This window comes from Homo sapiens, chromosome 6 (assembly GCF_000001405.40).
Source record: "Homo sapiens chromosome 6, GRCh38.p14 Primary Assembly".
NCBI classification, from domain to species: Eukaryota; Metazoa; Chordata; class Mammalia; order Primates; family Hominidae; genus Homo; species Homo sapiens.
The window spans coordinates 31,164,302-31,186,985 of record NC_000006.12 but is presented as its reverse complement, the minus strand read 5'-3'; the positions used below and the strand labels follow the sequence as shown (position 1 = coordinate 31,186,985).

Here is a 22,684-nt window from a genome sequence, read left to right as displayed (position 1 = left end):
TAAACTACTGACCTCAAGTGATCCACCCACCTCAGCCTCCCAAAGTGCTGGGATTACAGGCGTGAGCCACCATGCCCGGCCAAAAACCTTTTACATGAGCAGGTTTGTTATAGAAGTAAATTGCCTGTCATGGGGATTTGGTATACAGATTAGTTAATCCCCCATGTAATTCTTTCCACCATTTATTTACCTTTCTCCACAGCAGCCTATTCCCTTTGAGGGAAGAGAGAGACCCTTTCGTATTGTTTTATATTGCTTTATACTCAGTACCTGTTTTAAGAAAAAACAAGGAAGTAAAACCAAAGACAGGCAGCCTGGCGCCAGGCCCGAAACCAGGCCTGGGCCTGCCTGGCCTAAACCCAGTAGTTAAAAATCAACCCATGACTTAGAACGCGATGTTATTCCTAGATTCCAGACATTGTATAGAAGAACATTGTGACACTCCCTGCCCTGTTCTGTTTCTCTCTGACCACCAGTGCATGCAGCCCCTGTCACGTACCACCTGCGTACTCAAATCAATCACGACACTTTCATGTGAAATCTTTAGTGTTGTGAGACCTTAAAAGGGACAGAAATTGTGCATTCAGGGAGTTTGGATTTTAAGGCAGTAGCTTGCCGATGCTCGCAGCTGAATAAAGCCCTTCCTTCTACAACTCGGTGTCTGAAAGGTTTTGTCTGGGGCTCGTCCTGCTACATTTCTTGGTTCCCTGAACAGGAAGCGAGGTAACTGACGGACGGCCAAGGCAGCCCCTTGGGTGGCTTAGGCCTGCCCTGTGGAGCATCCCTGCGGTGGACTCTGGCCAGCCTGAGTGACGCGATCCAAAGAGCGCTCCCGGGTAGGAAATTCCCCGGGTGGAACGCCTCGCCAGAGCAGCACGTAGCAGGCCCCCGAGGAGGATTAACACACTGGCTGAACACTGGGAAGGAACTGGCACTTGGAGTCCGGACATCTGAAACTTGGTAAGACTAGTCTTTGGAACTTGCCCCACTCCATCTGAGTGGAAGCATGGCCTGATCACCCATGGTGTGCCTGTACTGGCACTTTTATTCTGGTTTTGACTTGACTTAGATTGTGTGATACTTTGGTTTTGGTTTTGGTTTTGACCTGGCTTGGGTTTTTGGATACTCTGATTTTGGTTTGGTGTAAACTGCAAAAGTGTGTGTGCCCTGTTTTTTTGTTTTGTAGTGCACGTGTGGTGTGAGCGTGGTGTTTTGTCTCGAAGAAGCATGGGTCAGGCACAAATAAGCCCACCCCACTAGGAACTATGTTAAAAAAAATTTTTTTTCAAGAAAGAATTTAAGGGAGATTACGATGTTACTGTGACACCAGGAAAACTTAGAACTTGTGAAATAGACTGGCCAGCATTAGAGGTGGGTTGGCCATCAGAAGGAAGCCTGGACAGGTCCCTTGTTTCAAAGGTATGACACAAAGTAACCTGTAAGCCAAGGCATCCAGACCAGTTTCTGTACATAGACAGTTACAGCTGGTTTTAGACCCCCTTCCCCCTACAGTAGTTAAGAGAACAGTAGCATAAGCATCTGGCAGAGGCAAGGAAAGACCAGCAGAGAGAAAAAAAGGCCATCTATACCAATTCTAAGTTAATTTAGACTAAACAAGGTCTTATTAATAGCAAAGGATAATTGAAATCCCAAACTTACAAGGTTTTCAACAAAAGTGAAGTTTGCTAAAAATTAACAGTATAACATGTATTATGGTAACTTCTAATCTTGTGGCCTTAGACAGTCTAGTCCAAAGACAAAAAAAAAGTTCACTTTAAAAAAAAAAAGCGGGGGAGGCAGAATTTATGTAAAAAGAGTGTTATATGGTAAATTCTTGTCCTGAAATAAATTAACTGGTTGTTTAAAGAAAAAAAAATGTTTGTAATAAGTCAGAAAGTTGAGACATGTTGAAGAATTGTCGGCGAAAGTCGTGAAAGAAAAAATGTTATAAAAAAATTTATGCAAAAAATATTGTGTAATTTAAAAGTAATAAGGCCTCCTGAGTACTATTTAAAAAAAAAAACAGTTTATGTGCAAGGTGTATAAGAAAAGTAAAATATACCTTTGGTAAAAAGATTATAAGGAGGCATAAGAATGTGGATTTTTACCTACATTAAAAGGTTAAAAAAATTATTGTTTTGAAAGTGTAAGCAAATTTTAAAATGTTAATTGTAAAGAAAATTCTGTGTGTAAACATATTAGCTAAAGTTAAAAAGGTATCATCCAGTTTTTCTGTGAACTGGACATTAAAGTAAAAATGTGACAGGTTTTTCTTAAAGCATCAACCTGCTCTTTAACAAAAATTATAAAAGGTTAAAAAGAGTCTATAAAACCTTACCTTATGGTCAAACATGAAAAATTGGATAAATATGTCTACAAAGTTTTATTAAAATTAAGTTTAACATTAATAACACACTAATATAAAGGTAAAATTTAGCTTACCTGGTATAAAAATCATACAAGAAGCATTATTAAATATAAAATGGTGTTTAGCTTTCTTTGGTCTAAAAACTAATAAAAATAGATGCTAAAGGAAACATTCATTTTACTAGAGGATCATAGAAGTTAAAGACTTAAAACAAACTTTGGCAGTTAAGACAGCATACCAAGATGCAAATGCCTGGTTGGAATGGATTAAATATTCCATCTGCACGTTAAACAAAATCAATTGTTATGCTTGTGCACATGGCAGGCCAGAGGCCCTGATTGTCCCTCTTCCACTAAGGTGGTCCTCCAGTCGACCAGGTGTGGGCTGCATGGTAGCTCTTTTCCAGGATTCTACAGCCTGGAGTAATAAGTCATGCCAAGCTCTCTCTGCTATATCCCGAAGTCTCTGTGGGTCAGCCCCCGAGGGCCATCCAGCTTCCATCTCCCAACACTAAGTTCACTTCTTGTCTCTCACGGCAGGGAGGAGATTTAGCATTCCTTGGAGACCTGAAGGGATGCAGTGAGCTTAAGAGTTTCCAAGAGCTTATCAATCAGTCAGCCCTTGTTCATCCCCGAGAGGATGTGTGGTGGTATCGGGGTGGACCTTTACTGGGCACTCTGCTGAATAACTAGAGTGGCACTTGTGCTTTAGTCCATTTGGCTATCCCTTTCACCCTGGCATTTCATCAACCAGAGGAAAAAAAAAGTAAGACATCATAAAACGAGAGAAGCCCCTTATAGGTCTTTCAATTCTCACATCTACTTAAATGCAATTGGAGCCCCACAAGGAATACCAGATCAATTTAAAGCTTGAAATCAAATAGTTACAGGATTTAAGTCAATATTTTAGTAGATGACAGTCAACAAAAATGTAGATTAGATAAACTACATCTATTACAACCAACAGCAAAGAGCTTTTCATTAGTTAAAAAGAAAAACTCATGTCGGCCCCAGCCCTGAGGCTACCTGACCTGACAAAACTCTTTACACTCTGTGTGTCAGAAAGAGAAAAAATGACAGTTGGAGTTTTAACCCAGACTGTAGGGCCCTGGTCAAGGCCAGGGGCCTATCTCTCAAAACAACTAGACGGGGTTTCCAAAGGCTGGCCCCCATGTCCAAGGGCCCTGGCAGCAACTGCCCTGTTAGCACAAGAAGCAGATGAGCTAACTCTTAGGCAAAACCTAAACAGAAAGTCTCCCCATGCTGTGGTGACTTTAATAAATACCAAAGGACATCATTAGCTAATAAATGCTAGACTAACTAGATACCAAACCTTGCTCTGTGAAAATCCCCACAAAACCATTGAAGTTTCCAACACCCTAACCCAGCCACCTTACTCCTGGTAACAGAGAGCCCAGTTAAACATAACTGTTTAGAGGTGCTGGACTCAGTTTATTCTAGTAGGCCTAACCTCCGAGACCACCCTTAAACATCAGTAGACTGGGAGCTGTACGTGGATGGGAGCGGCTTTGCCAACCCCTGCAAAGTGACTCTGAAGAAGGAGACAAGCCCTGCTCCAGTCACACCCAGAAGCTGACTGGTCCACGCACAGGCGAAGCATGAGGAAACTCATTGCGGGACTCATTTTCCTTAAAATTTGGACTTGTACAGTAAGGACTTCAACTGACCTTCCTCAGATTGAGAACTGTTTCCAGTATATACATCAAGTCACTGAGGTAGGACAAAAATTGCTACAGTCCTATTATTTTATGGTTATCATAAGTGTACCAGGACTCTAAAAGAAACTTGTTTGTATAATGCTATCCAAGGTATGTAGCCCAGGGAATAACCAACCTGATGTGTGTTATGACCCATTTTAAGCCTCCCGTGATCACAGTTTTTAAAATAAAATTAAGGACTGGTCCTTTTCTAGGTGACACAAGTAAGGTAATAGCTAGAATGGAAAAAAGAGGGGCCCCCAAAAATGTAACCTTAAAATTTGGTGCTTGTGCCGCTATTGATAGTAAGCAGCATGGAATAGGATGCGGTTCTCTAAATTGGAAAAAAAAAGTGACACAGTAAAAAAAAAATAAGTGTATCTGTCAAGAATTGTATTTATGTGAGATGTGTCAATACTGGTCTTGTGTCATTTGGGCTACTTAAAAAGAAGATAAAAAAGATCCTGTTTGGCGGCTTAGTTGTCTTGGGCAAAAACTGTATAATGGTACCACAAAAAGTTACATGGTGGAGTTCCAATTACACAGAAAGAAATCCATTCAGTAAATTTCCAAAGTTGCAGACTGTTTGGGCCCACCCAGAACTCCACCGGGACTGGACAGCCCCCACCGGGTTATACGCAGAGCTTATGCTAAGCTCCCTGATCAGTGGACAGGTAGCTGTGTAATTGGCACCATTAAGCCATCTTTCTTCTTACTGCCCATAAAAACAGGTAAACTTCTGGGCTTCCCAGTCTATGCTTCCTGCGAAAAACGAAGCATAGCCATAGGTAATTGGAAAGATGATAAATGACCTCCTAAAAAAATTATATAATACTATAGGCCTGCCACTTAGACACAAGATGGCTCATGAGGATATCGAACCCCCATCTACATGCTCAACCGAATCATATGGTTGCAAGCTGTTTAGAAATTATTACTAATAAAACCCGTCAAACCTTGACTGTTCTTGCCCGGCAAGAGACTCTGATGAGAAATGCTATCTATCAAAATAGACTAGCTCTTGACTACTTGCTATATATATATATATATATATATGTATACACACACCCCATCTCTACTAAAAATACAAAAAATTAGTGGGGTATGGTGGCAGGCACCTGTAATCCCAGCTACTAGGGAGGCTGAGTCAGGAGAATCGCTTGAACCTGGGAGGCGGAGGTTGTAGTGAGCCGAGATCGCGCCATTGCACTCCAGCCTGTGCAACAAGAGTGAAACTCCATATCAAAAAATATAAATAAATAAATAAATAATAAATTAAATAAATAAAATGGGCAGGAAGAGGTCTGAACATAAAAACACTCGACTGCACAGCGACCAAGGAGAGACAACTTAAACCTCAAATTCTCTCTCTTTTTTTGAGACGGAGTCTCACTCTGTCGCCCAGGCTGGAGTGCAGTGGCGCTAGCTATATCGGCTCACTGCAACCTCCGCCTCCCGGATTCAAGCGATTCTCCTTCCTCAGTCTCCCGAGAAGCTGGGTTTACAAGTGCGCGCCAGGGTTTCGCTATGTTGGCCAGGCTGGTCTCCAACTCCTGACCTCAGGTGATCCGCCCGCTTCGGCCCCCCACAAAGTGCTGGGATTATGCTGGGATTACAGGCGTGAGCCACCGCGCCGGGTCTCAAACCCCAAATTATTTTTTTGGGGGGACGGAGTCTTGCTCTGTCGCCCAGGCTGGAGTGCAGTGGCGCGATCTCTGCTCACTGCAAGCTCTGCCTCCAGCGTTCACGCCATTCTCCTGCCTCAGCCTCCCGAGTAGCTGGGACTACAGGTGCCCGCCACCACACCCGGCTAATTTTTTTGTATTTTTTTAGTAGAGACGGGGTTTCATAGTGTTAGCCAGGATGGTCTCGATCTCCTGACCTTGTGATCCGCCCGCCTCGGCCCCCCAAAGTGCTGGGATTACAGGCGTGAGCCACCGCACCCGGCCTCAAACCCCAAATTCCTAAGTATGGATGAGCCAAATCACCCCTCCCACTGCTGAGGAGAGACGCTTGTCTCGGACTGGACTTAACCCAATGGGGTTCAAGAAAAAGGGAAAGTCCCGCCTCCGTAGCAGCTCCAGTCCAATGGGAGCCTCCCGGTACGCTCAGCTGGAAGATGGGCGGGACTACGCTGGCCTGGAGCATGGCACGTGATTCCGCCGGCCTGGTTGCCGGGAATCTGGACCTGAGCGAGAAGCACGATCCCCGGCCGCCCCCGCTCTTGCATCCCCCTGGTCCTACTGCTGTGCTTGCTGGCGACGGTTCGTTCCGGAAGTCAGGCCAGTGACTGCGGGGCTCTGCTCCGCCCTCCATACCTGTTAAGTGTCCCCCTCCCCCACAACGCCTGATCCCCACAGCCTGGCAGCGAGAGTCCAGCCCTCCGGGGAGGTTGAGGCCCGGTGCCACCACCACCACTGGAGGCCTGACGATGCCTGACGATGCCTCACGCGGGTGCTGAGTAGTAGGGGGGCTTAATTATTTAGCACCTCTCCCCTTCCCCTGAGCCATAACCTTCCCCAAACTGTGGCCTTTATGAGGCCTCTTGGGAGTGCTTTTTGGAGCCGGGGGAGGTCTGGGGCGATGGAGGTTGCAAGATAAGGTCAGGCTTAGAGGGTAGGTAGGGCTTCCTCTGAAACTGGTTGTATCTGGTAAGTAATTGTCCCATGTCTCCCACTTGAAGCTTAAACTTGGCCGTAGGAGGTCCTTATGCCTGTAATCCCAGGACTTTGGGAGGCCGAGCTGGGCGGAGGATTGCTTGGACACAGGAGTTTGAGACCAGCCCAGGGAACATGAGGAAAACCTGTCAATACAGAAAATACAAAAACATTAGCCAGGCGTGGTGGTGCACGCCTGTAGTCCCAGTTACTCTGGAGGCTGAGGTGGGAGGATCGCTTGAGCCTGGGAGGCAGAGGTTGGGGTGGGCCTCATGATTGTGCCACTGCACTTCAATGTGGGTGACAGAGTGAGACCGTCTCGAAAAAAAAGAGAAAAGGAGCCAATGATAGCAGCTATGTTTGTTAAAAAAATATATATATATATACGTATATACACATATATATACGTATATGTGTGTGTGTGTATATATATATTTGGAGACGGAGAATCACTCAGTCGCCCAGGCTGGAGTGCAGTGGTGCAATCTCGGCTCACTACAACCTCCGCCTCCTGGGTTCTAGGGATTCTCCTGTCTCAGCCTCCCGAGTAGCTGGGATTACAGGCGTGCACCACCAGGCCCAGCTAATTTTTGTATTTTTTTAGTAGAGATGGGGTTTCGCCTCATCGTGGTTTTTAACCCAGCCTTAAAAATATATTTAAACATAACTACCAGGTGTGTTTTTTGGCATGACCTCTAATCCTCTGAGATTGGTGTAATTTTCTCATATATGAAGAATGTGGCTCATATTCTTGTCCACAAGAGATGGCCCCAAGAGGGATGCACAGCCATAGACAAGTGGTAGGGTGAGTGTCACCTCTGAGTGAAAGTCAGAGCCGTCTCTGAAATAAAGGGGTACAGCAGCGTGGTAGATGGTTTGAGGCCAGGGTAAGGGTTTAATGAAAGGGTTTAAGTGGTTTAAGTGGTGTTTGGAGAAGGGGAGGATGGGTCTTCCCTTCAGGGGACCATCTCAGGAAGGCACTGGGAGGTGGAACTGCAGGAGTATGGAGGTGCTCCAACCTTCCTGTTCCAAGTGGGTCAGGTGAAGGCAGGGTGTGGTGGGAGATGAGGGTGGAGACGGCAGCCTTCAAGGGGCCTTGTTTAGCTTGCTAAGGAGCTTGGAAACCATCCCGAGGACAAAAGGGGAATCCTTAGAGGAAGAGCAGAGAGGTATGCGGTCTGATATGTATTTCTGGATAGATCACTCTGATTATATCAAGGAGGACAGATTTTATATGCTTAAGACTGGAGGGAGAGAGACCAGTTAGAAAGACTCTGGCTATAATCCAAGCAAGCCATACTATGGGCTGGTTTGGTGGAGGTAGAGGAATGTCCAGATTGGAGAAACAGGAAGTTAAAAATGGGCAGGGCTTGCTGACTGTTTGAAACTAGGGGGTGTGAAGGGAGGCAGCACTCTAGGATAAACACCAGACTTGCCGATTGTTTGGGAATATCCAATTCTGCTGTAGAAGACAGGAAAACAATAAACTCAAAAGAAGTGTTACACATAGATAACTAAATTAGTCATCTGTAGATAGTACAACATATTCGTGTGTACAGAGATCAAAAGGGACAGAAAGACCAAGGAGGCACTAAATATTCACGGTACCCTAAATACGTGAGACATGAGGCACTCAGGATGCAGGAGGTTTCAATTTGACAGGATGGATGCACACTGCATGACCCACAGTTCAGCTGGTGTGATCATTCCACCCAACTTGCCCCCTCTCCCGTGTGTTGACCCACCCCAGCACCTGCCTCCTGCTTCTCAGAATGTGTTTTACATTTATTTAATAAACGATGTTATTTGAGCATTTACATTTGGTCTGTGAGCCTTTTTGTTCCATGACCTCTCAGCTCACTTCATGCTATTGTGCCAGGAGGCTACATGACATCCGGTAGTTGCCCACACCTCAACCCAGTTCTGGCTTGAGTAAGCAGGCAGGTGAGAGGATGATGCCACTCACCAGGAATATAGGATGAGAGGCAGGTTGTTCCATGGCCAGGGCCAAGAGGAAATACTCAGTTTTGGATGTGTCAGATTTAAGGCCATATGGAACCTTAGGTCCAGATGACCAACAGGTAGGTAGTTGGATATACCGATGTGAAGAACAGGGATGAAGAGATTTGGGAGTCATTACTATTTAAAACAATGAGCCTAGATGAGGCCCTGCAGGGAAACAAGAGATTCCCTTCCCATTGTTCAGTCTGCATTCCCCTTACCCACTCCTTTGGTGCCCTCAAAAATAGTCACACAGCCTCACCACACAGGCACCTTGTGCAGTGTCTCCCAGGTAAGACTCCTGTTGGAAAATAACCCTTTCCCATCATTCTCTTTTCCTCAGCAACCCACTCTCTGTGCTATGACTTCATTACTCTTTCCCAGCCCAGCCCTGGGCAAGCCCCTTACGAAGTCTCAGGCTACCTGGATGACCACCCTTTCTTATGATGCTGCAAGGAGGGCAGGTGGGCAGAGCCCCGTGCATCCTGGGCTCAGGCCAGGGACCCAAGAGCTTGGGAGAAGCTGGTTCTCAGACTGAAGGCCAGAGCCCAGCACCTTGTCACCATCCCGGGGAGCATCATGGCACACAACAACCAGAGCCAAGGTGATTGGGCTTGGGGGCTCAGGAGGAGGCAGAAAAGAGAGAAGAGCTCAATATGGGCCTGAAGATGTGCAGCTGCATTCGTTATTGTTCAGCTAAGATGCATTGAGCTCTGCGTGGGGCACTGTGCTAGGCACTCAGATACCATCCCACTTCACTGAGATCCTGATGCTATCTCCTCCTGCCTGGGGGAGTTCATCCCTGACTCAAACCTTGTTTTATGTACCCAGTGGTGCCAAAAGGACTGGGTCTTAGGTATTAGCAAGAGTAGGACAGAAGTATAAGACCCTCTGGCTGGGCGCGGTGGCTCATGCCTGTAATCCCAGCAGTTTGGGAGGCCGAGGCAGGTGGATCACAAGGTCAGGAGATCGAGACCATCCTAGCTAACACAGTGAAACCCTGTCTCTACTAAAAATACAAAAAAAATTAGCCGGGTGCGCTGGCAGGCACCTGTAGTCCCAGCTACTCGGGAGGCTGAGGCAGGAGAATGGCATGAACCCGGGAGGTGGAGCTTGCAGTGAGCCGAGATCGTGCCACTGCACTCCAGCCTGGGTGACAGAGCAAGACTCTGTCTCAATAAAAAAAAAAAAAAAAGAAGTATAAGACCCTCACCCTTTCCCTCAGTCAAGGACTAGGTCTCTAAGAAAGAAGCCATTGTCCTTAAGCTCCCAAGCCTTCCCTTCAGGTGAAAAAAGTCTGTTTTTTTTTTGCTCTTGTTGCCCAAGCTGGAGTGCAATGGCCCGATCTCAGCCCACTGCAAACTCCGCCTCCCAGGTTCAAGCGATTCCCCTGCCTCAGCCTCCTGAGTAGCTGGGATTACAGGCGCCTGCCACCACACCTGGCTAATTTTTATATTTTTAGTAGAGATGGGGTTTCACCATGTTGGCCAGGCTGGTCTCAAACTCCTGACCTCGTGATCCACCTGCCTGGGCCTCCCAAAGTGCTAGGATTACAGGCGTGAGCCACCGCACCCGGCCAGGTGAAAAAAATTTATCCAACTTTCTCAAATCCAGGAAATGGGAAAAACTGGCCTTTTTCTGACATTCACCTCTCTCGCCACCACCAGTAGTTAATAAGAAACCTGGTGACCTGAGCAAAATATATTTCTAACCAATATCATTTTTTTTCATCTAGCAAACATTTAAGCCTAGTAAGTGCTGTTCATTTTGCTGTTACCAATAATACACCTTACAATAGCAGCTACTAGTTCTTGAATTCTTCTTGGTAGGTCCTACATTAACACTGGCAAGGATTATCTCATGTTATCTTTACTTGTGTGGTAGAGACTATAATTGTGTCCAGTTGCCAAATGAGGAAAGCAAGGCTTGGAGAGGTTCCATTACATTTGCCGTGGGCATATAGCCAGTAGCTGATGTGTAGATCAGGGATTTAAACACAATGCTGTCTGTGCTGGGCCTTCAGGAGGGTGGGTGAGTATATGTGGCTGAACAGTGCATGCTGGGTACATGGGAGGGAGCCACATGCTGCAGGGGAGGGAGAGCGGGTGCAGTGTGACTTTGGTGGGGATGTGGTTGACAGAGAAGATATGTCTTGGAGAATGAGTGAGGGTTTATCAGTCAGAGGAAGGGAATTTCATGCATTTTGGGAGGAGGTAGGAGCGGAGGTGGAGAGAGCCACTGTTTTGACCTCTTGTAACTTTGGAGTTCTGGGGTTTTGGCTTTTCAGAGTCACACACCCTCCAGACCACGGTTGTCTGTGAGTTGCTGGGGAACCGGAGCAGCTGGGGACACTGGCACTACAACTGTGATGGCCAGGACTCCCTTCTTAGCACACTTGAGTCTTTCAACTCCAGCAAAAGCCAGCCAGAACCAAGCATAGCTGCAGAAGGAGAGAAGGGAAGGAAACAATCCTTCCTGACCTAGAGCTGCGTCTACCCTCTCCGGAAACACCTGAAAGCTGGGGTGGGACCACGGCCCACCGTAGGTGTGATAGGTGCGGACTGGTTCATGTGGGGAAGGTGGAGGAGCTGAGGGCACTGTGGGAGGGATGGAGTGCAGGCCCCTCAGCCAGCCTTCAAAACTCCATTTCAATACCCATGTCCTAAATGAACACAGCTCTGTTGCTGACCGTCCTAGCCACTCTGCTTTCCTTCCCTCTCCCGTGCTTGGTCAGCCCTTTTCCCACTTGGTGTTCAAGTTCTGACCCAGGGCTGAGCACCCAAGGGCTCTCAAGGTGGGGCATCACCTACAGTCACCATGGAACACAGTGGAATGGTGCCTAAAGCCCTGGTGTGGAGGATGTACGGCAGCTTGATAGGACCAGAGGCAGCCAGTTTGTCTGGGAGGTCTTTGCCACCACTTTTCCCTGTCCCGCTAGCCCCCTTGGTGCATGGGACTCTCTGCAAAGCCCCTGGAGAGGAGCCATCCCAACATGCTAGGCCCTTGACTTCTATCCTCCAGTGTCCAGCTAACTTAGCTGAGGGATGGGCTGCCCCAGCCCCTGAGTCCCTGGAACCCTAAGCCACTTGCCCCCTTGCATGGCGCTGCTCAGATGCCCAGAGCCAGCAGTCTGCTGTGATCCCTTTGACGTGAGCATAGGCTCTCCTGTCTGGTGATGCACCAGGCTGATGCTGAGTCTCTGTGCAACCTCAGATGAGCAGCTGGGGTTTGGAGGCATGTAGCAATGCAGTTGCCGAGTGCAGTGGCTCGATCTCAGCTCACTGCACCCTCTGCTGCCTGAGTTCAAGCGATTTTTGTTTCTCAGCCTCCTGAGTAGCTGGGATTACAGGCATGCACCACCACATGCAAAAAAAACAAAACAAACAAACAAAAAAACCACCTTTTGGTATTTTTAGTAGAGACAGGGTTTCACCATGTTGGCCAGGCTGGTCTCGAACTGCTGATCTGAAGTGATCCGCCCGCCTCAGCCTCCTAAAGTGCTGGGATTATAGGCATGAGCCACCGCTCCCGGCCTCCTCCTATATCTCTTGATCAAACTTCAGGGGAAAACCTGCCAGATTCCCCAGGAAGGATGCTTGGAGGTAGGTGGCAGGGTACAGGGAGGCCTATGCCAACTTCTCATTGAACACCACTCCCAGCTTTCCTACCCCCATTTCTCTTCACAGGTGTGCAGAGAAGTCTACATTCCCATGTCAAGTAAGGGGGGTGGGTAGATGGGAGGGCATATGAGAGCGGGGCAGCAATTTTATGTCTGAGTTGGAAGGAAGTTTAGAGTTCATTGAGTCCAAATCCTCTTTACTAGGTGAGGAAACTGAGGCACAGGAGGGGGAGGTGCCATTAGCCAGGGAGTCAGAGCCAGGACTTAGAACCTGGTCCATGCCTCCTAGTTTGTTCCTGACCAATCCTCCCAGCTCACCCACTCCTTTTGCTCTCACCTCTGACTCCCTACAGGCTACAGCTAGAGAGTTGACTCCTCTATTTGAGGTAAGAGTGTCTGGATTTGGGATAAGGTGACCTCAGTTTGCAGGGCTCATGGGGGAGATCAGAGGGTCCTTTGTTGAGAAGAGGGGACTTGGTCCACAGTGAGCAAAGGAATTTGTCTAAATTGCTATTAAGGGAGATCATCTCCCAAGGTGGGCCAAGCCTGAACCCTCAGCCCTCCGTTTCTTCCCTTTCTTTTGCCTTCAGATTGACAGGCCTCGGAAGTCAAAATAAGTGGTTTCCTAGACCGGGTCGAGAGCAAGTCTCTATTGGTCCCAACTGAGTTTTTTCAGCTGGTTTTTCAACCAAACAGCACCTCATCTCCCAGTGAGGGGAAGGGAAGGCTGGGCTGAGAGCAGCAAGGCTGCTCATCTCACCTCTCCCCACCCAGCCATGCCAGCCGCCTCACCTGGTGGGGAGAGGTGGGCCTCACCTGGGTCCCCTGGCAGTGCTCTGTGAAGGGTCTTGACATTGCACTGTAATAATAAAGGTGTGTGTGAAGTATCTTTTTATGGTGACTTTCTAAAACCCAGGGAATCATGGGACCAGTTCTGATGACTCAGCCTGGCTTCCAGTCTCCTCCAGGCCCAACGGTGGCCCCCAGCACTGGTTGGGGCCTGGGAGAGCTGGCCTTGGCTGAAGTGAAGCCACCTACCCTTCAGGCATAACAGGACAGTGAGAAGGAAGGAAAGCCTGCCTCAACCTCCCATCAGCCCTGAGCACCCCAGAAGGGGGCCGGCTAGGAGTCTAGGCATGCAGGAGGCTGACCCCTGACTGGGCTCATATCCAGCCACAAGGCAGCCAGGGATCCAGGCACCCACCCCTTGTCTGCGTCCCTCTCGGGAATGGGCCTCTTGCCCAGGCCAGAAATACACCACCTACAGTACAAATTATAATCTAAAAACAAGAGGGTGGTGTTGAGTGGGGAAATTGGGGAAGGTGTTTTAGGAGCCACTAGGAAAATGGGCAGCAGGGACTCTCTGGACTGGCTTGGGAAGAGCGCTTTTGGGGAACCTGGAGGATGGCAAGCTGAGAAACACTGGTGTGGAGATTCCAGCCAAATCCCAGGCCTGCCCCTCCCCCTCCTCTGAGAGGCCGTCTTCTTGGCAGACAGCAGAGAGATGCATGACAAAGGTGCCGTGATGGTTCTGTCCTGGGGATTGAGATGGCTGGGGAGGGGCCTCCTCCTGTTCCGAAGCATGTTCCTCCCACCCCCACCAGGCCCCATAATCTACCTGCCTTTTGGGCAGTTAAAGGCCGAGAAGTGAACACAGCTGCAACCCCACTGCCTTGTAGACCTTCCGGCAGACCTGTGGCAGGTATTGAAATGCACGCATACAATTAGGCTCAAAAAGTCTACACAGACAGGAGATGGGCACACGAACAGAGGCAACATAAGAGTGGGGGAAAAGTCTCAAAAGACTCACGGATGCCACCAAGATGAAGACAGCTGGCCACGGGACACCCATCCCCTTAGAAGGCAGATAGAGCCACTGACCCCAGCAGACAAGCCCAGGCAGGGCTGAGCCTGGAGCCTGCAATGAGAAGCCTTACTTAAGTCGACAGAGGTCAGCGTGCCCAGTCCAGACCTGGCCTTCTGGCCTTCGAAGCTGTGGGGAGCCCTGGCCCAGAGCCCCCTCTGGAGCCCCCAGACTTACCCCAGGCCCTCCACTGAGATCAAGTTTTGGGAGCAGACAGACAAACATCATCCCTCACAGACAGGCATTCCGTTGGCTATTCTCTTGCAAACAGAATCAAGCACTAGACCAGCAGCATGAGCCTCAGGATACTCAGGCCAGGCCCAGAAAAACAGACCCTGAAGGGGAGCTTAGGGCAGCCTTCCTGCACGCCTCCACAAATCACTCTCCACCTCCTCTGCGTCTTTCTGCCAGCCAGCCCCACTAAACAAAGCACATCCCTCAATCTGCCAGGCTCGGGGAGGGACGCACGATGAAGCTGGACGCCTGAGTCCCCCAGAGGAAGGAGGAACTAGATACCTAGGTCCCTGTGGGGGGCCCTTGGTGCCCGTCTGAGGCTCAGTCTTTGAGGGGATTGCAGAGGGGGGTTGCTGGAGCTCCTTTTAGCGTCTCTGAAGGGGATTCTGTGTGAGGGGATTGGGACTGGGGGGTTGGGGAGCAGGAAGCAGTCCCCAGGGGAGCCATCCAGGCCCATTCAAGGGTTGAGCACTTGTTTAGGGTTAGAGCTGCCCCCTCTGGGGACCGGGATTGTCCAGCCAAGGCCATTGTCCTGCCCCCTTCCCCCAGTCCCTCCCAGGCTTCTTTGAACCTGAAGTCAGATATTTTTTCTCCACACCCCCCACCCCCTGGTTTTCCCCACCCAGGGCCTAGGGCTGGAGGCCTGGGCCAGGGAGGTGGGGGAGGGAGAACGGGGCCTACCGTGGTATTAGATGTCTGAGTTTTGGTTGAGAGGGGAGCAAGGAACCTGATGTGCAGGTTCCATAGTGGAGGGGGCCCAAAGCGGGTGTCTTATCACTCTGTTTCAGCAAAGGTTGGGAAACTGAGGCCCAGTCAGTCCAAAGTCTGGTCCCTTGAAGGGGAAGTAGGGACCAACCCCTTAGTCTGTTAGATGAGGAGAGTCTGGAGTCTGATTCTGGAAGACGGAGGGGTGGGGGGATGGGGGGGTGGGGGGATATAGCACGGAGGCCTTGTCTGGCAGTCTACTCTTGAAGATGGGGTGAAATTTGGCAGGCTGGGCAGATGGTGCCAGGCACCCAGGCTGCGGGGTGGCTGGATTTGGCCAGTATCGGGATGGGAATGCCTAGGATTCTGGATGGATCGGGGGAAGGCATAAGGGAGCAGCTGGCCATTGTGCTTATGGCTGTTGATGCATTGAGGGATAGCGCCACACACACATTCAATAAATTTGAGGAGCTGAGAGGGTGACTGGCCCCTGAAGGCACAGTGCCAGAGGTCTGTGGAGAGGGGGTCAAGCACCTGGGTTCCTGAAGAACATGGAGGTGTGGGAGTGATTCCAGACAGCTGGGATGTGCAGAGCCTGAGAGAGTGCCAGGGAGCGGGTTGGGAGTTGAAAGTTGGGTGTGGTGGCTCACGCCTTTAATCATGACACTGGGCGGCAGAGGCGGGAGGATTTCTTGAGGACAGGAATTCAAGACCAGCCTGGGTAACATAGCAAGGCCCCATCTCTACTAAAAATAAAAAAACTAACAGGGCACAGTGGTCCAAGCCTGTAGTCCCAGCCACTTAGGAGGCTGGAGCAGAAGGATTGCTTTGGCCCAGTAGATCGAGGCTACATTGAGCCATCATTGTACTCCACTGCACTCCAGTCTGGGCAACAAAGTGAGACCCTGTCTTAAAAAATAAAAATAAAAAAAGTTTCTGTGGGGGACCTGCACTGAGGTCCTGGAGGGGCGCCAGTTGTGTCTCCCGGTTTTCCCCTTCCACAGACACCATTGCCACCACCATTAGGCAAACATCCTTCGCCTCAGTTTCTCCCCCCACCTCCCTCTCCTCCACCCATCCAGGGGGCGGGGCCAGAGGTCAAGGCTAGTGGGTGGGACTGGGGAGGGAGAGAGGGGTTGAGTAGTCCCTTCGCAAGCCCTCATTTCACCAGGCCCCCGGCTTGGGGCGCCTTCCTTCCCCATGGCGGGACACCTGGCTTCGGATTTCGCCTTCTCGCCCCCTCCAGGTGGTGGAGGTGATGGGCCAGGGGGGCCGGAGCCGGGCTGGGTTGATCCTCGGACCTGGCTAAGCTTCCAAGGCCCTCCTGGAGGGCCAGGAATCGGGCCGGGGGTTGGGCCAGGCTCTGAGGTGTGGGGGATTCCCCCATGCCCCCCGCCGTATGAGTTCTGTGGGGGGATGGCGTACTGTGGGCCCCAGGTTGGAGTGGGGCTAGTGCCCCAAGGCGGCTTGGAGACCTCTCAGCCTGAGGGCGAAGCAGGAGTCGGGGTGGAGAGCAACTCCGATGGGGCCTCCCCGGAGCCCTGCACCGTCACCCCTGGTGCCGTGAAGCTGGAGAAGGAGAAGCTGGAGCAAAACCCGGAGGAGGCAAGTGAGCTTCGACGGGGTTGGGGTGTGGGGAGGTGGTCATGACAGGGCAGCCTGATGGGGAAGTGGTCACCTGCAGCTGCCCAGACCTGGCACCCAGGAGAGGAGCAGGCAGGGTCAGCTGCCCTGGCCAGGGAGGGGTGTGTATCAACTGCTGGCAGCCCTGGCAGGCAGGGGCCAGGTGGGAAGTGGAAGCTGGATTTCGAAGAGACAACTGCCGGTGAGGGCAGAGCAGCCTGGGAGAGTCGGAAGCTGGCCCAGGCTGGCCTTTGCTCTGGCCCAGCCCTTGTCAGGGTCTCTCACATCTCCTAGGCCTGCCCAGGGTCTGGTCACTCATTACTGGCCCAGCACCAGACCCAGCTTGGGGTTGGTTTGAGCCCCTTTTCCCACCCTTAGTCCTGCTTGAAAATTTGACCCTTATCAGACCCAAGATTTTGGCCTTAGGGTTAAGCATAGCCTGAGGGTAAAAACAGTGCTCATTCCAGGATTATTGTTCCTGAAAGTCTAGGGTGTGACTCGTTTCTGATAGGATCTCCTGTTTGGGCTGTGTGTGTGCGCGTTGTGAGCTGGGTTTACCTCCAGTCAAGTATAGGGCTTGTCTTCCCCGGATCTCTGCCTCAGGCCAATGACTGGCCACTGTGTTAAGGTGCACACCCTGGCACCCCTTGTAGAAAGCTGGATTTTGATTGACTTCAGCCTCAGTTCCAAAGTTGTAAACAAGAAAAATGGTGAGAGATTTCTCCAGGCCATTTGCAAATATAGAGCTGCTGCGGGATTGAAGGCATCCAGCCCTGCTGAGGACTATTAAAGATGTATCTTCCAGTCCTTCAAGGCGACAAGTGTAAGCAATTAGAGATTAAATACTAAGCCTTGAGACCTCACAGAAAGGTGTGACTGGTTTCTGGAGTGACCGAGAAGCCCCAACCTCTTCGCAGGAGGTCACTGCTGAGCCTTGAATGATAATGGCTGGCAATTGTGGTCCACTTCCTAAGTGCCTGGCTGTGTGCTCCGTTTATACATCATTATCTCATTAACCAGCACAAAATCTCCTAGGGGGAGGTATTATTATCCTATTTAACGGGTTTTAACTGCTAAATGATGAAGCGAGGATTTGGACCAGTGTTTATTCCAAAACCCCAAAACAGAATTTGGAAAATCCAAGATAGCAGAGGGCATTTATCAGTTTGAGTTATTGGCTGAGCAGAAGTTGGGGATGAAAACAGCCTATTTGAAATTGATATGATCAAGCACCATTGAAACACTTCCTTGAGGCTTCAGAACTACAAAAAGGCCTTGTTTTTTTCTCACTAGCTGTGCACCTCTGTCTGCCGGCAGCCTCATATGGCATGCCCCAGGGCTCAGTCCTTCAACCTCTGCTCTATCTACCCTTCCTTCCTCTCACCCACCCTCAAGGCTTAAATGCCATTTAGACACCAGATGACTACCGCGTTTTCTGTCTCTTGTGATGGCTCCCTGAACTGCTCCACCCTGATCACCCAGTTGCTCAAGGCCAAACCCAGTCATCCTCAGTTTCTTTCATGTCCTACATCCTATCCTTAAGAAACATCCTGAATCAATCACAACCTAACCCTGGCCTCAGCCACCATCATCTCTGCTGGGATTACCGCAGTAGCTTCTCAAATTATACTGCTTCCTCCCTACTGTCTGTGGCCAACACGTCAACTAGAGTCAGTGTTTTAAAAGGTGTGGCCAGGCACTTTGGGAGGCCGAGGCAGGCGAATCACCTGAGGTCGGGAGTTCGAGTCCAGCCTGACCAACATGGCGAAACCCCATCTCTACTAAAAATACAAAATTAGCTGGGCGTGGTGACGCATGCCTGTAATCTCAGCTACTCAGGAAGCTGAGGCAGGAGAATCGCTTGAACCTGGGAGATGGAGGTTGCGGTGAGCCGAGATCGCGCCAGTGCACTCCAGCCTAGGCAACAAAAGCGAAACTCTCAAAAAAAAAAAAAAAAAAGGTGAGGCTAGGTGCGGTGGTTCACACCTGTAATCCCAGCACTTTGGGAGGCCAAGGTGGACAGATCACTTGAGGTCTCCTGACCAGCCTGGCCAACATGGTGAAACCCCATATCTACTAAAAATACAAAAATTAGCCGGGCATGGTGGTGGGTGCCTGTAGTCCCAGCTACTCAGGCGGCTGAGGCAGAATAGCTTGAACCCAGAAGGCGGAGATTGCAGTGAGCCAAGATCACGCCACAGCACTCCAGCCTGGGCGATAGAACGAGATTCCGTCTTGGTGGGGAGAAAAAGGGTGAGAGATCATTTCGCTTGGACTAAAACAAAGTCACTATGTCTGCAACAGGATCTACCTAGCCACCAGACCAGCTTTGGGCTCTGGAAGGCCCACTTCAGGGCCTTGCCACATTAGACTCTTGTCCTTTGCTCAAACAATCACCTTCTCTGTCTTTAAAAGTGTCACCCTCCTCCATAATCTCCTTCCCTCCTTTACCCTACTCCTATAGACTGCTTTATTTTTTTTTTAATTTTTGAGATGGAGTCTCACTCTGTCCCTCAGGCTGGAGTGCAGTGGTGCGATCTTGGCTCACTGCAAACTCCACCTCCTAGGTTCAAGCAATTCTCCTGCCTCAGCCTCCTGAGTAGCTGGGATTATAGGGGAGCGCCATGATGCCCAGCTAATTTTTGTATTTTTAGTAGAGACAGAGTCTCACTATGTTGACCAGGCTAGTCTTGAACTCCTGACCTCAAGTGATCTACCCACCTTGGCCTCCCAAAGTGAAGGGATTACAGGCATGACCACTGCGCCCAGACTGCTTTACTTTTTTCCATAATATATATATATATTTTAAATAGAGGCAGCAGGGGTGGGAGAAGGGGCGGCACGGGTCTCACTATGTTACCCAGGCTGCTTTCTAACTCTTGGGCTCAAGCAGTCTGCCCACCTTGGCCTCCCAAAGTGCTAGGATTTACAGACATGAGCCACTGTGCCTGGCCATTTTTTATTTTATTTACTTTTTTATTTTTCAGAGCAGGAGTGGAAGTTTATTATTAAAAAGTTATAGGGCAGGGAAAAAAGGAAAGTGCACTTGGAAGAGATCCAAGTGGGCAACTTGAAGAACAAGTGCCAAATAGCACTTCTGTCATGCTGGATGTCAGGGCTCTTTGTCCACTTTGTATAGCCGCTGGCTTATAGAAGGTGCTCGATAAATCTCTTGAATTTAAAAATCAATTAGGATGCCTCTATAGTGAAAAAGATACAGTAAAGATGAGGGATAATCAATTTAAAAAATGAGTAAGTACACACAAAGCACTTTATCCATTCTTATGACACCTGTTACTTTTTTGCTGTGTTTGTGTGTATGCATGCCATGTTATAGTTTGTGGGACCCTCAAAGCAAGCTGGGGAGAGTATATACTGAATTTAGCTTCTGAGACATGATGCTCTTCCTTTTTAATTAACCCAGAACTTAGCAGCTTATCTATTTCTCTAATCTCAAAACATCCTTAAACTGGGGGTGATACTTGAGTGAGAGAATTTTGCAGGTATTAAATGAACTATCTTCTTTTTTTTTTTTCTTTGAGACAGAGTCTTGCTCTGTCACCCAGGCTGGAGTGCAGTGGCGTGATCTCAGCTCACTGCAACCTCCGCCTCCCGGGTTCAAGTGATTCTCCTGCCTCAGCCTCCTGAGTAGCTGGGATTACAGGTGCGTGCCACCGTGCCCAGCTAATTTTTGTGTTTTTAGTAGAGACGGGGTTTCACCATGTTGGCCATGCTGGTCTTGAACTCCTGACCTCGTGATCTGCCCACCTCGGCCTCCCAAAGTGCTGGAATTATAGGCGTGAGCCACCGCGCCCAGCAAAGAACTTCTAACCTTCATAACCTGACAGGTGTTCTCGAGGCCAGGGTCTCTCTTTCTGTCCTTTCACGATGCTCTGCATCCCTTGGATGTGCCAGTTTCTGGGGGAAGAGTAGTCCTTTGTTACATGCATGAGTCAGTGAACAGGGAATGGGTGAATGACATTTGTGGGTAGGTTATTTCTAGAAGTTAGGTGGGCAGCTTGGAAGGCAGAGGCACTTCTACAGACTATTCCTTGGGGCCACACGTAGGTTCTTGAATCCCGAATGGAAAGGGGAGATTGATAACTGGTGTGTTTATGTTCTTACAAGTCTTCTGCCTTTTAAAATCCAGTCCCAGGACATCAAAGCTCTGCAGAAAGAACTCGAGCAATTTGCCAAGCTCCTGAAGCAGAAGAGGATCACCCTGGGATATACACAGGCCGATGTGGGGCTCACCCTGGGGGTTCTATTTGGTGGGTTCCCCTCTGCAGATTCTGACCGCATCTCCCCTCTAAGGAGTATCCCTGAACCTAGTGGGGAGGGGCAGGGGCAGACTACCCTCACCCATGAAGAGGAGTAGGGAGAGGGAGAAGATGCTTTGAGCTCCCTCTGGGAAGAGGTGGTAAGCTTGGATCTCAGGGTCACAAGGGCCCTGCGTGCTCCCTCACTTTGCTTCTCTTTTGACTGGCCTCCCCCAGGGAAGGTATTCAGCCAAACGACCATCTGCCGCTTTGAGGCTCTGCAGCTTAGCTTCAAGAACATGTGTAAGCTGCGGCCCTTGCTGCAGAAGTGGGTGGAGGAAGCTGACAACAATGAAAATCTTCAGGAGGTAAGGGTGGGAGGGGGATACCCGGGGACCTTCCCTTTCTTGGCCTAATTTCCATTGCTTCCATCACTGGCTCGTAGCTCTCCGTCTTTGGTGCAGTGGTTCTCAGTGGGATGGAGTGAAATTCCTCAGTTCTGCTGGGATAAGGTCCAGAGCCAACCCTTCCAGGATCCTGCCTTTTCACACCACCACCTGGCTCTGCTGACACATCTAGTCACAGACCCCTGTGATGCTGTTACTCAGCAAGTCCAAAGCTTGCCCTTGTCACCCCCTTCCCACCTGCACAGATATGCAAAGCAGAAACCCTCGTGCAGGCCCGAAAGAGAAAGCGAACCAGTATCGAGAACCGAGTGAGAGGCAACCTGGAGAATTTGTTCCTGCAGTGCCCGAAACCCACACTGCAGCAGATCAGCCACATCGCCCAGCAGCTTGGGCTCGAGAAGGATGTGAGTGCCATGTCTCTCTGCGGGCTCCATCTCTTTCCCCTGTCACCACCTCGCTTTCCCTAGCTCTGGCTCCTCCAACTGCTCTAGGGCTGTTGGCTTTGGACAGAATGTCCAAGCAGTCAGGCCTGTCTCAGCTCATTCTCTAATGTCCTCCTCTAACTGCTCTAGGGCTGTTGGCTTTGGATAGAATGTCCAAGCAGAGTCAGGCCCGTCTCAGCTCATTGTCTAATGTCATTCTCCTTTCTGTCATTCACTTGCAGGTGGTCCGAGTGTGGTTCTGTAACCGGCGCCAGAAGGGCAAGCGATCAAGCAGCGACTATGCACAACGAGAGGATTTTGAGGCTGCTGGGTCTCCTTTCTCAGGGGGACCAGTGTCCTTTCCTCTGGCCCCAGGGCCCCATTTTGGTACCCCAGGCTATGGGAGCCCTCACTTCACTGCACTGTACTCCTCGGTCCCTTTCCCTGAGGGGGAAGCCTTTCCCCCTGTCTCCGTCACCACTCTGGGCTCTCCCATGCATTCAAACTGAGGTGCCTGCCCTTCTAGGAATGGGGGACAGGGGGAGGGGAGGAGCTAGGGAAAGAAAACCTGGAGTTTGTGCCAGGGTTTTTGGGATTAAGTTCTTCATTCACTAAGGAAGGAATTGGGAACACAAAGGGTGGGGGCAGGGGAGTTTGGGGCAACTGGTTGGAGGGAAGGTGAAGTTCAATGATGCTCTTGATTTTAATCCCACATCATGTATCACTTTTTTCTTAAATAAAGAAGCCTGGGACACAGTAGATAGACACACTTATCTTGGTTTGTCCTTCAGTTACTGAGGTAGGGATG

The 22,684-nt window shown here is 49.8% G+C and overlaps 1 protein-coding gene and 1 long non-coding RNA gene across 17 annotated transcripts, besides 32 other annotated features; both read left to right on the top strand.

Annotated features, from left to right (window-relative positions):
• Positions 159–746: an enhancer, noted in NCBI's record as "OCT4-H3K27ac-H3K4me1 hESC enhancer chr6:31154017-31154604 (GRCh37/hg19 assembly coordinates)". NCBI's record gives its function as "activates a minimal SCP1, AML or CMV promoter by ChIP-STARR-seq in primed H9 embryonic stem cells {active_cell/tissue: H9 hESC(primed)}" and the evidence as "EXISTENCE:reporter gene assay evidence [ECO:0000049][PMID:30033119]".
• PSORS1C3 (psoriasis susceptibility 1 candidate 3) lies at positions 669–13,251 on the top strand. 13 transcript variants are annotated; one of them, NR_152834.1, is made up of 7 exons: positions 669–960; positions 9,087–9,347; positions 11,031–11,297; positions 12,160–12,345; positions 12,430–12,460; positions 12,716–12,748; positions 12,953–13,251. It is a non-coding gene; the product is annotated as a psoriasis susceptibility 1 candidate 3 (long non-coding RNA). The 13 variants fall into 13 exon arrangements; NR_152837.1 differs by lacking the exon at positions 11,031–11,297 and having other exon boundaries at positions 12,307–12,345; NR_152833.1 differs by lacking the exon at positions 11,031–11,297.
• Positions 747–1,336: an enhancer, noted in NCBI's record as "OCT4-H3K27ac-H3K4me1 hESC enhancer chr6:31153427-31154016 (GRCh37/hg19 assembly coordinates)". NCBI's record gives its function as "activates a minimal SCP1, AML or CMV promoter by ChIP-STARR-seq in primed H9 embryonic stem cells {active_cell/tissue: H9 hESC(primed)}" and the evidence as "EXISTENCE:reporter gene assay evidence [ECO:0000049][PMID:30033119]".
• Positions 5,857–6,400: an enhancer, noted in NCBI's record as "H3K27ac-H3K4me1 hESC enhancer chr6:31148363-31148906 (GRCh37/hg19 assembly coordinates)". NCBI's record gives its function as "activates a minimal SCP1, AML or CMV promoter by ChIP-STARR-seq in naive H9 embryonic stem cells {active_cell/tissue: H9 hESC(naive)}" and the evidence as "EXISTENCE:reporter gene assay evidence [ECO:0000049][PMID:30033119]".
• Positions 7,507–8,008: an enhancer, noted in NCBI's record as "OCT4 hESC enhancer chr6:31146755-31147256 (GRCh37/hg19 assembly coordinates)". NCBI's record gives its function as "activates a minimal SCP1, AML or CMV promoter by ChIP-STARR-seq in primed H9 embryonic stem cells {active_cell/tissue: H9 hESC(primed)}" and the evidence as "EXISTENCE:reporter gene assay evidence [ECO:0000049][PMID:30033119]".
• Positions 8,541–9,135: an enhancer, noted in NCBI's record as "OCT4 hESC enhancer chr6:31145628-31146222 (GRCh37/hg19 assembly coordinates)". NCBI's record gives its function as "activates a minimal SCP1, AML or CMV promoter by ChIP-STARR-seq in primed H9 embryonic stem cells {active_cell/tissue: H9 hESC(primed)}" and the evidence as "EXISTENCE:reporter gene assay evidence [ECO:0000049][PMID:30033119]".
• Positions 11,379–12,275: an enhancer, noted in NCBI's record as "OCT4-H3K27ac-H3K4me1 hESC enhancer chr6:31142488-31143384 (GRCh37/hg19 assembly coordinates)". NCBI's record gives its function as "activates a minimal SCP1, AML or CMV promoter by ChIP-STARR-seq in primed H9 embryonic stem cells {active_cell/tissue: H9 hESC(primed)}" and the evidence as "EXISTENCE:reporter gene assay evidence [ECO:0000049][PMID:30033119]".
• Positions 13,225–14,082: an enhancer, noted in NCBI's record as "OCT4-NANOG-H3K27ac-H3K4me1 hESC enhancer chr6:31140681-31141538 (GRCh37/hg19 assembly coordinates)". NCBI's record gives its function as "activates a minimal SCP1, AML or CMV promoter by ChIP-STARR-seq in primed H9 embryonic stem cells {active_cell/tissue: H9 hESC(primed)}" and the evidence as "EXISTENCE:reporter gene assay evidence [ECO:0000049][PMID:30033119]".
• Positions 13,225–16,656: a biological region, named in NCBI's record as "POU5F1 5' regulatory region". NCBI's record gives its function as "regulatory_interactions: POU5F1".
• Positions 13,763–16,366: a promoter, noted in NCBI's record as "-2601 promoter fragment used in the -2601/-1-Luc reporter construct". NCBI's record gives its function as "drives POU5F1 transcription in NCCIT embryonal carcinoma cells {active_cell/tissue: NCCIT}" and the evidence as "EXISTENCE:reporter gene assay evidence [ECO:0000049][PMID:16149048]".
• Positions 13,808–13,939: a conserved region, noted in NCBI's record as "conserved region; CR4". NCBI's record gives the evidence for it as "COORDINATES:sequence alignment evidence [ECO:0000200][PMID:11309664]".
• Positions 14,083–14,940: an enhancer, noted in NCBI's record as "OCT4-NANOG-H3K27ac-H3K4me1 hESC enhancer chr6:31139823-31140680 (GRCh37/hg19 assembly coordinates)". NCBI's record gives its function as "activates a minimal SCP1, AML or CMV promoter by ChIP-STARR-seq in naive and primed H9 embryonic stem cells {active_cell/tissue: H9 hESC(naive and primed)}" and the evidence as "EXISTENCE:reporter gene assay evidence [ECO:0000049][PMID:30033119]".
• Positions 14,409–14,513: a conserved region, noted in NCBI's record as "conserved region; CR3". NCBI's record gives the evidence for it as "COORDINATES:sequence alignment evidence [ECO:0000200][PMID:11309664]".
• Positions 14,855–15,050: a conserved region, noted in NCBI's record as "conserved region; CR2". NCBI's record gives the evidence for it as "COORDINATES:sequence alignment evidence [ECO:0000200][PMID:11309664]".
• Positions 14,855–15,053: an enhancer, noted in NCBI's record as "CR2". NCBI's record gives the evidence for it as "EXISTENCE:reporter gene assay evidence [ECO:0000049][PMID:17226773]".
• Positions 14,876–14,894: a protein binding site, noted in NCBI's record as "CR2 EBS (ETS binding site)". NCBI's record gives its function as "negative regulation of POU5F1 transcription" and the evidence as "EXISTENCE:protein binding evidence [ECO:0000024][PMID:24971534]".
• Positions 14,908–14,937: a protein binding site, noted in NCBI's record as "3rd SF-1 site". NCBI's record gives its function as "positive regulation of POU5F1 transcription" and the evidence as "EXISTENCE:protein binding evidence [ECO:0000024][PMID:17226773]".
• Positions 14,941–15,798: an enhancer, noted in NCBI's record as "OCT4-NANOG-H3K27ac-H3K4me1 hESC enhancer chr6:31138965-31139822 (GRCh37/hg19 assembly coordinates)". NCBI's record gives its function as "activates a minimal SCP1, AML or CMV promoter by ChIP-STARR-seq in naive and primed H9 embryonic stem cells {active_cell/tissue: H9 hESC(naive and primed)}" and the evidence as "EXISTENCE:reporter gene assay evidence [ECO:0000049][PMID:30033119]".
• Positions 14,969–14,998: a protein binding site, noted in NCBI's record as "2nd SF-1 site". NCBI's record gives its function as "positive regulation of POU5F1 transcription" and the evidence as "EXISTENCE:protein binding evidence [ECO:0000024][PMID:17226773]".
• Positions 15,799–16,656: an enhancer, noted in NCBI's record as "OCT4-H3K27ac-H3K4me1 hESC enhancer chr6:31138107-31138964 (GRCh37/hg19 assembly coordinates)". NCBI's record gives its function as "activates a minimal SCP1, AML or CMV promoter by ChIP-STARR-seq in primed H9 embryonic stem cells {active_cell/tissue: H9 hESC(primed)}" and the evidence as "EXISTENCE:reporter gene assay evidence [ECO:0000049][PMID:30033119]".
• Positions 15,802–15,831: a protein binding site, noted in NCBI's record as "AHRE1". NCBI's record gives the evidence for it as "EXISTENCE:protein binding evidence [ECO:0000024][PMID:26059097]".
• Positions 15,985–16,366: a promoter, noted in NCBI's record as "-380 promoter fragment used in the -380/-1-Luc reporter construct". NCBI's record gives its function as "drives POU5F1 transcription in NCCIT embryonal carcinoma cells {active_cell/tissue: NCCIT}" and the evidence as "EXISTENCE:reporter gene assay evidence [ECO:0000049][PMID:16149048]".
• Positions 16,082–16,092: a protein binding site, noted in NCBI's record as "ARID3B RE3". NCBI's record gives its function as "positive regulation of POU5F1 promoter activity" and the evidence as "EXISTENCE:protein binding evidence [ECO:0000024][PMID:25858147]".
• Positions 16,236–16,365: a conserved region, noted in NCBI's record as "conserved region; CR1". NCBI's record gives the evidence for it as "COORDINATES:sequence alignment evidence [ECO:0000200][PMID:11309664]".
• Positions 16,241–16,260: a protein binding site, noted in NCBI's record as "GC-1 probe". NCBI's record gives its function as "binds Sp1 and positively regulates POU5F1 promoter activity in NCCIT embryonal carcinoma cells {active_cell/tissue: NCCIT}" and the evidence as "EXISTENCE:protein binding evidence [ECO:0000024][PMID:16149048]".
• Positions 16,241–16,260: a protein binding site, noted in NCBI's record as "GC-1 probe". NCBI's record gives its function as "binds Sp3 and may negatively regulate POU5F1 promoter activity in NCCIT embryonal carcinoma cells {active_cell/tissue: NCCIT}" and the evidence as "EXISTENCE:protein binding evidence [ECO:0000024][PMID:16149048]".
• Positions 16,247–16,256: a GC rich promoter region, noted in NCBI's record as "GC-1 sequence mutated in the Mutant GC-1 and Mutant GC-1,-2 hOct4-380-Luc (D5) reporter constucts". NCBI's record gives its function as "important for POU5F1 promoter activity in NCCIT embryonal carcinoma cells {active_cell/tissue: NCCIT}" and the evidence as "EXISTENCE:site-directed mutagenesis evidence [ECO:0005528][PMID:16149048]".
• Positions 16,253–16,280: a protein binding site, noted in NCBI's record as "1st SF-1 site". NCBI's record gives its function as "positive regulation of POU5F1 promoter activity" and the evidence as "EXISTENCE:protein binding evidence [ECO:0000024][PMID:17226773]".
• POU5F1 (POU class 5 homeobox 1) lies at positions 16,304–22,649 on the top strand. Of its 4 annotated transcripts, none has more exons than NM_002701.6 (5): positions 16,304–16,770; positions 20,939–21,059; positions 21,285–21,415; positions 21,700–21,858; positions 22,119–22,649. In NM_002701.6, exons 1-5 carry the CDS (start codon positions 16,366–16,368, stop codon positions 22,383–22,385), a joined length of 1,083 nt encoding a protein of 360 aa, NP_002692.2. In that variant the 5' UTR covers positions 16,304–16,365; the 3' UTR covers positions 22,386–22,649. The 4 variants fall into 4 exon arrangements, with proteins under 4 accessions (NP_002692.2, NP_001167002.1, NP_976034.4 ...); NM_001173531.3 differs by lacking the exon at positions 16,304–16,770 and adding an exon at positions 19,816–20,452; NM_203289.6 differs by lacking the exon at positions 16,304–16,770 and having other exon boundaries at positions 19,816–21,059.
• Positions 16,332–16,341: a GC rich promoter region, noted in NCBI's record as "GC-2 sequence mutated in the Mutant GC-2 and Mutant GC-1,-2 hOct4-380-Luc (D5) reporter constucts". NCBI's record gives its function as "important for POU5F1 promoter activity in NCCIT embryonal carcinoma cells {active_cell/tissue: NCCIT}" and the evidence as "EXISTENCE:site-directed mutagenesis evidence [ECO:0005528][PMID:16149048]".
• Positions 16,657–17,514: an enhancer, noted in NCBI's record as "OCT4-NANOG-H3K27ac hESC enhancer chr6:31137249-31138106 (GRCh37/hg19 assembly coordinates)". NCBI's record gives its function as "activates a minimal SCP1, AML or CMV promoter by ChIP-STARR-seq in primed H9 embryonic stem cells {active_cell/tissue: H9 hESC(primed)}" and the evidence as "EXISTENCE:reporter gene assay evidence [ECO:0000049][PMID:30033119]".
• Positions 17,515–18,372: an enhancer, noted in NCBI's record as "OCT4-NANOG-H3K27ac hESC enhancer chr6:31136391-31137248 (GRCh37/hg19 assembly coordinates)". NCBI's record gives its function as "activates a minimal SCP1, AML or CMV promoter by ChIP-STARR-seq in primed H9 embryonic stem cells {active_cell/tissue: H9 hESC(primed)}" and the evidence as "EXISTENCE:reporter gene assay evidence [ECO:0000049][PMID:30033119]".
• Positions 18,373–19,230: an enhancer, noted in NCBI's record as "OCT4-H3K27ac hESC enhancer chr6:31135533-31136390 (GRCh37/hg19 assembly coordinates)". NCBI's record gives its function as "activates a minimal SCP1, AML or CMV promoter by ChIP-STARR-seq in primed H9 embryonic stem cells {active_cell/tissue: H9 hESC(primed)}" and the evidence as "EXISTENCE:reporter gene assay evidence [ECO:0000049][PMID:30033119]".
• Positions 21,863–22,444: an enhancer, noted in NCBI's record as "OCT4-H3K4me1 hESC enhancer chr6:31132319-31132900 (GRCh37/hg19 assembly coordinates)". NCBI's record gives its function as "activates a minimal SCP1, AML or CMV promoter by ChIP-STARR-seq in primed H9 embryonic stem cells {active_cell/tissue: H9 hESC(primed)}" and the evidence as "EXISTENCE:reporter gene assay evidence [ECO:0000049][PMID:30033119]".
• Positions 22,650–22,684: the final 35 nt, after the last annotated feature.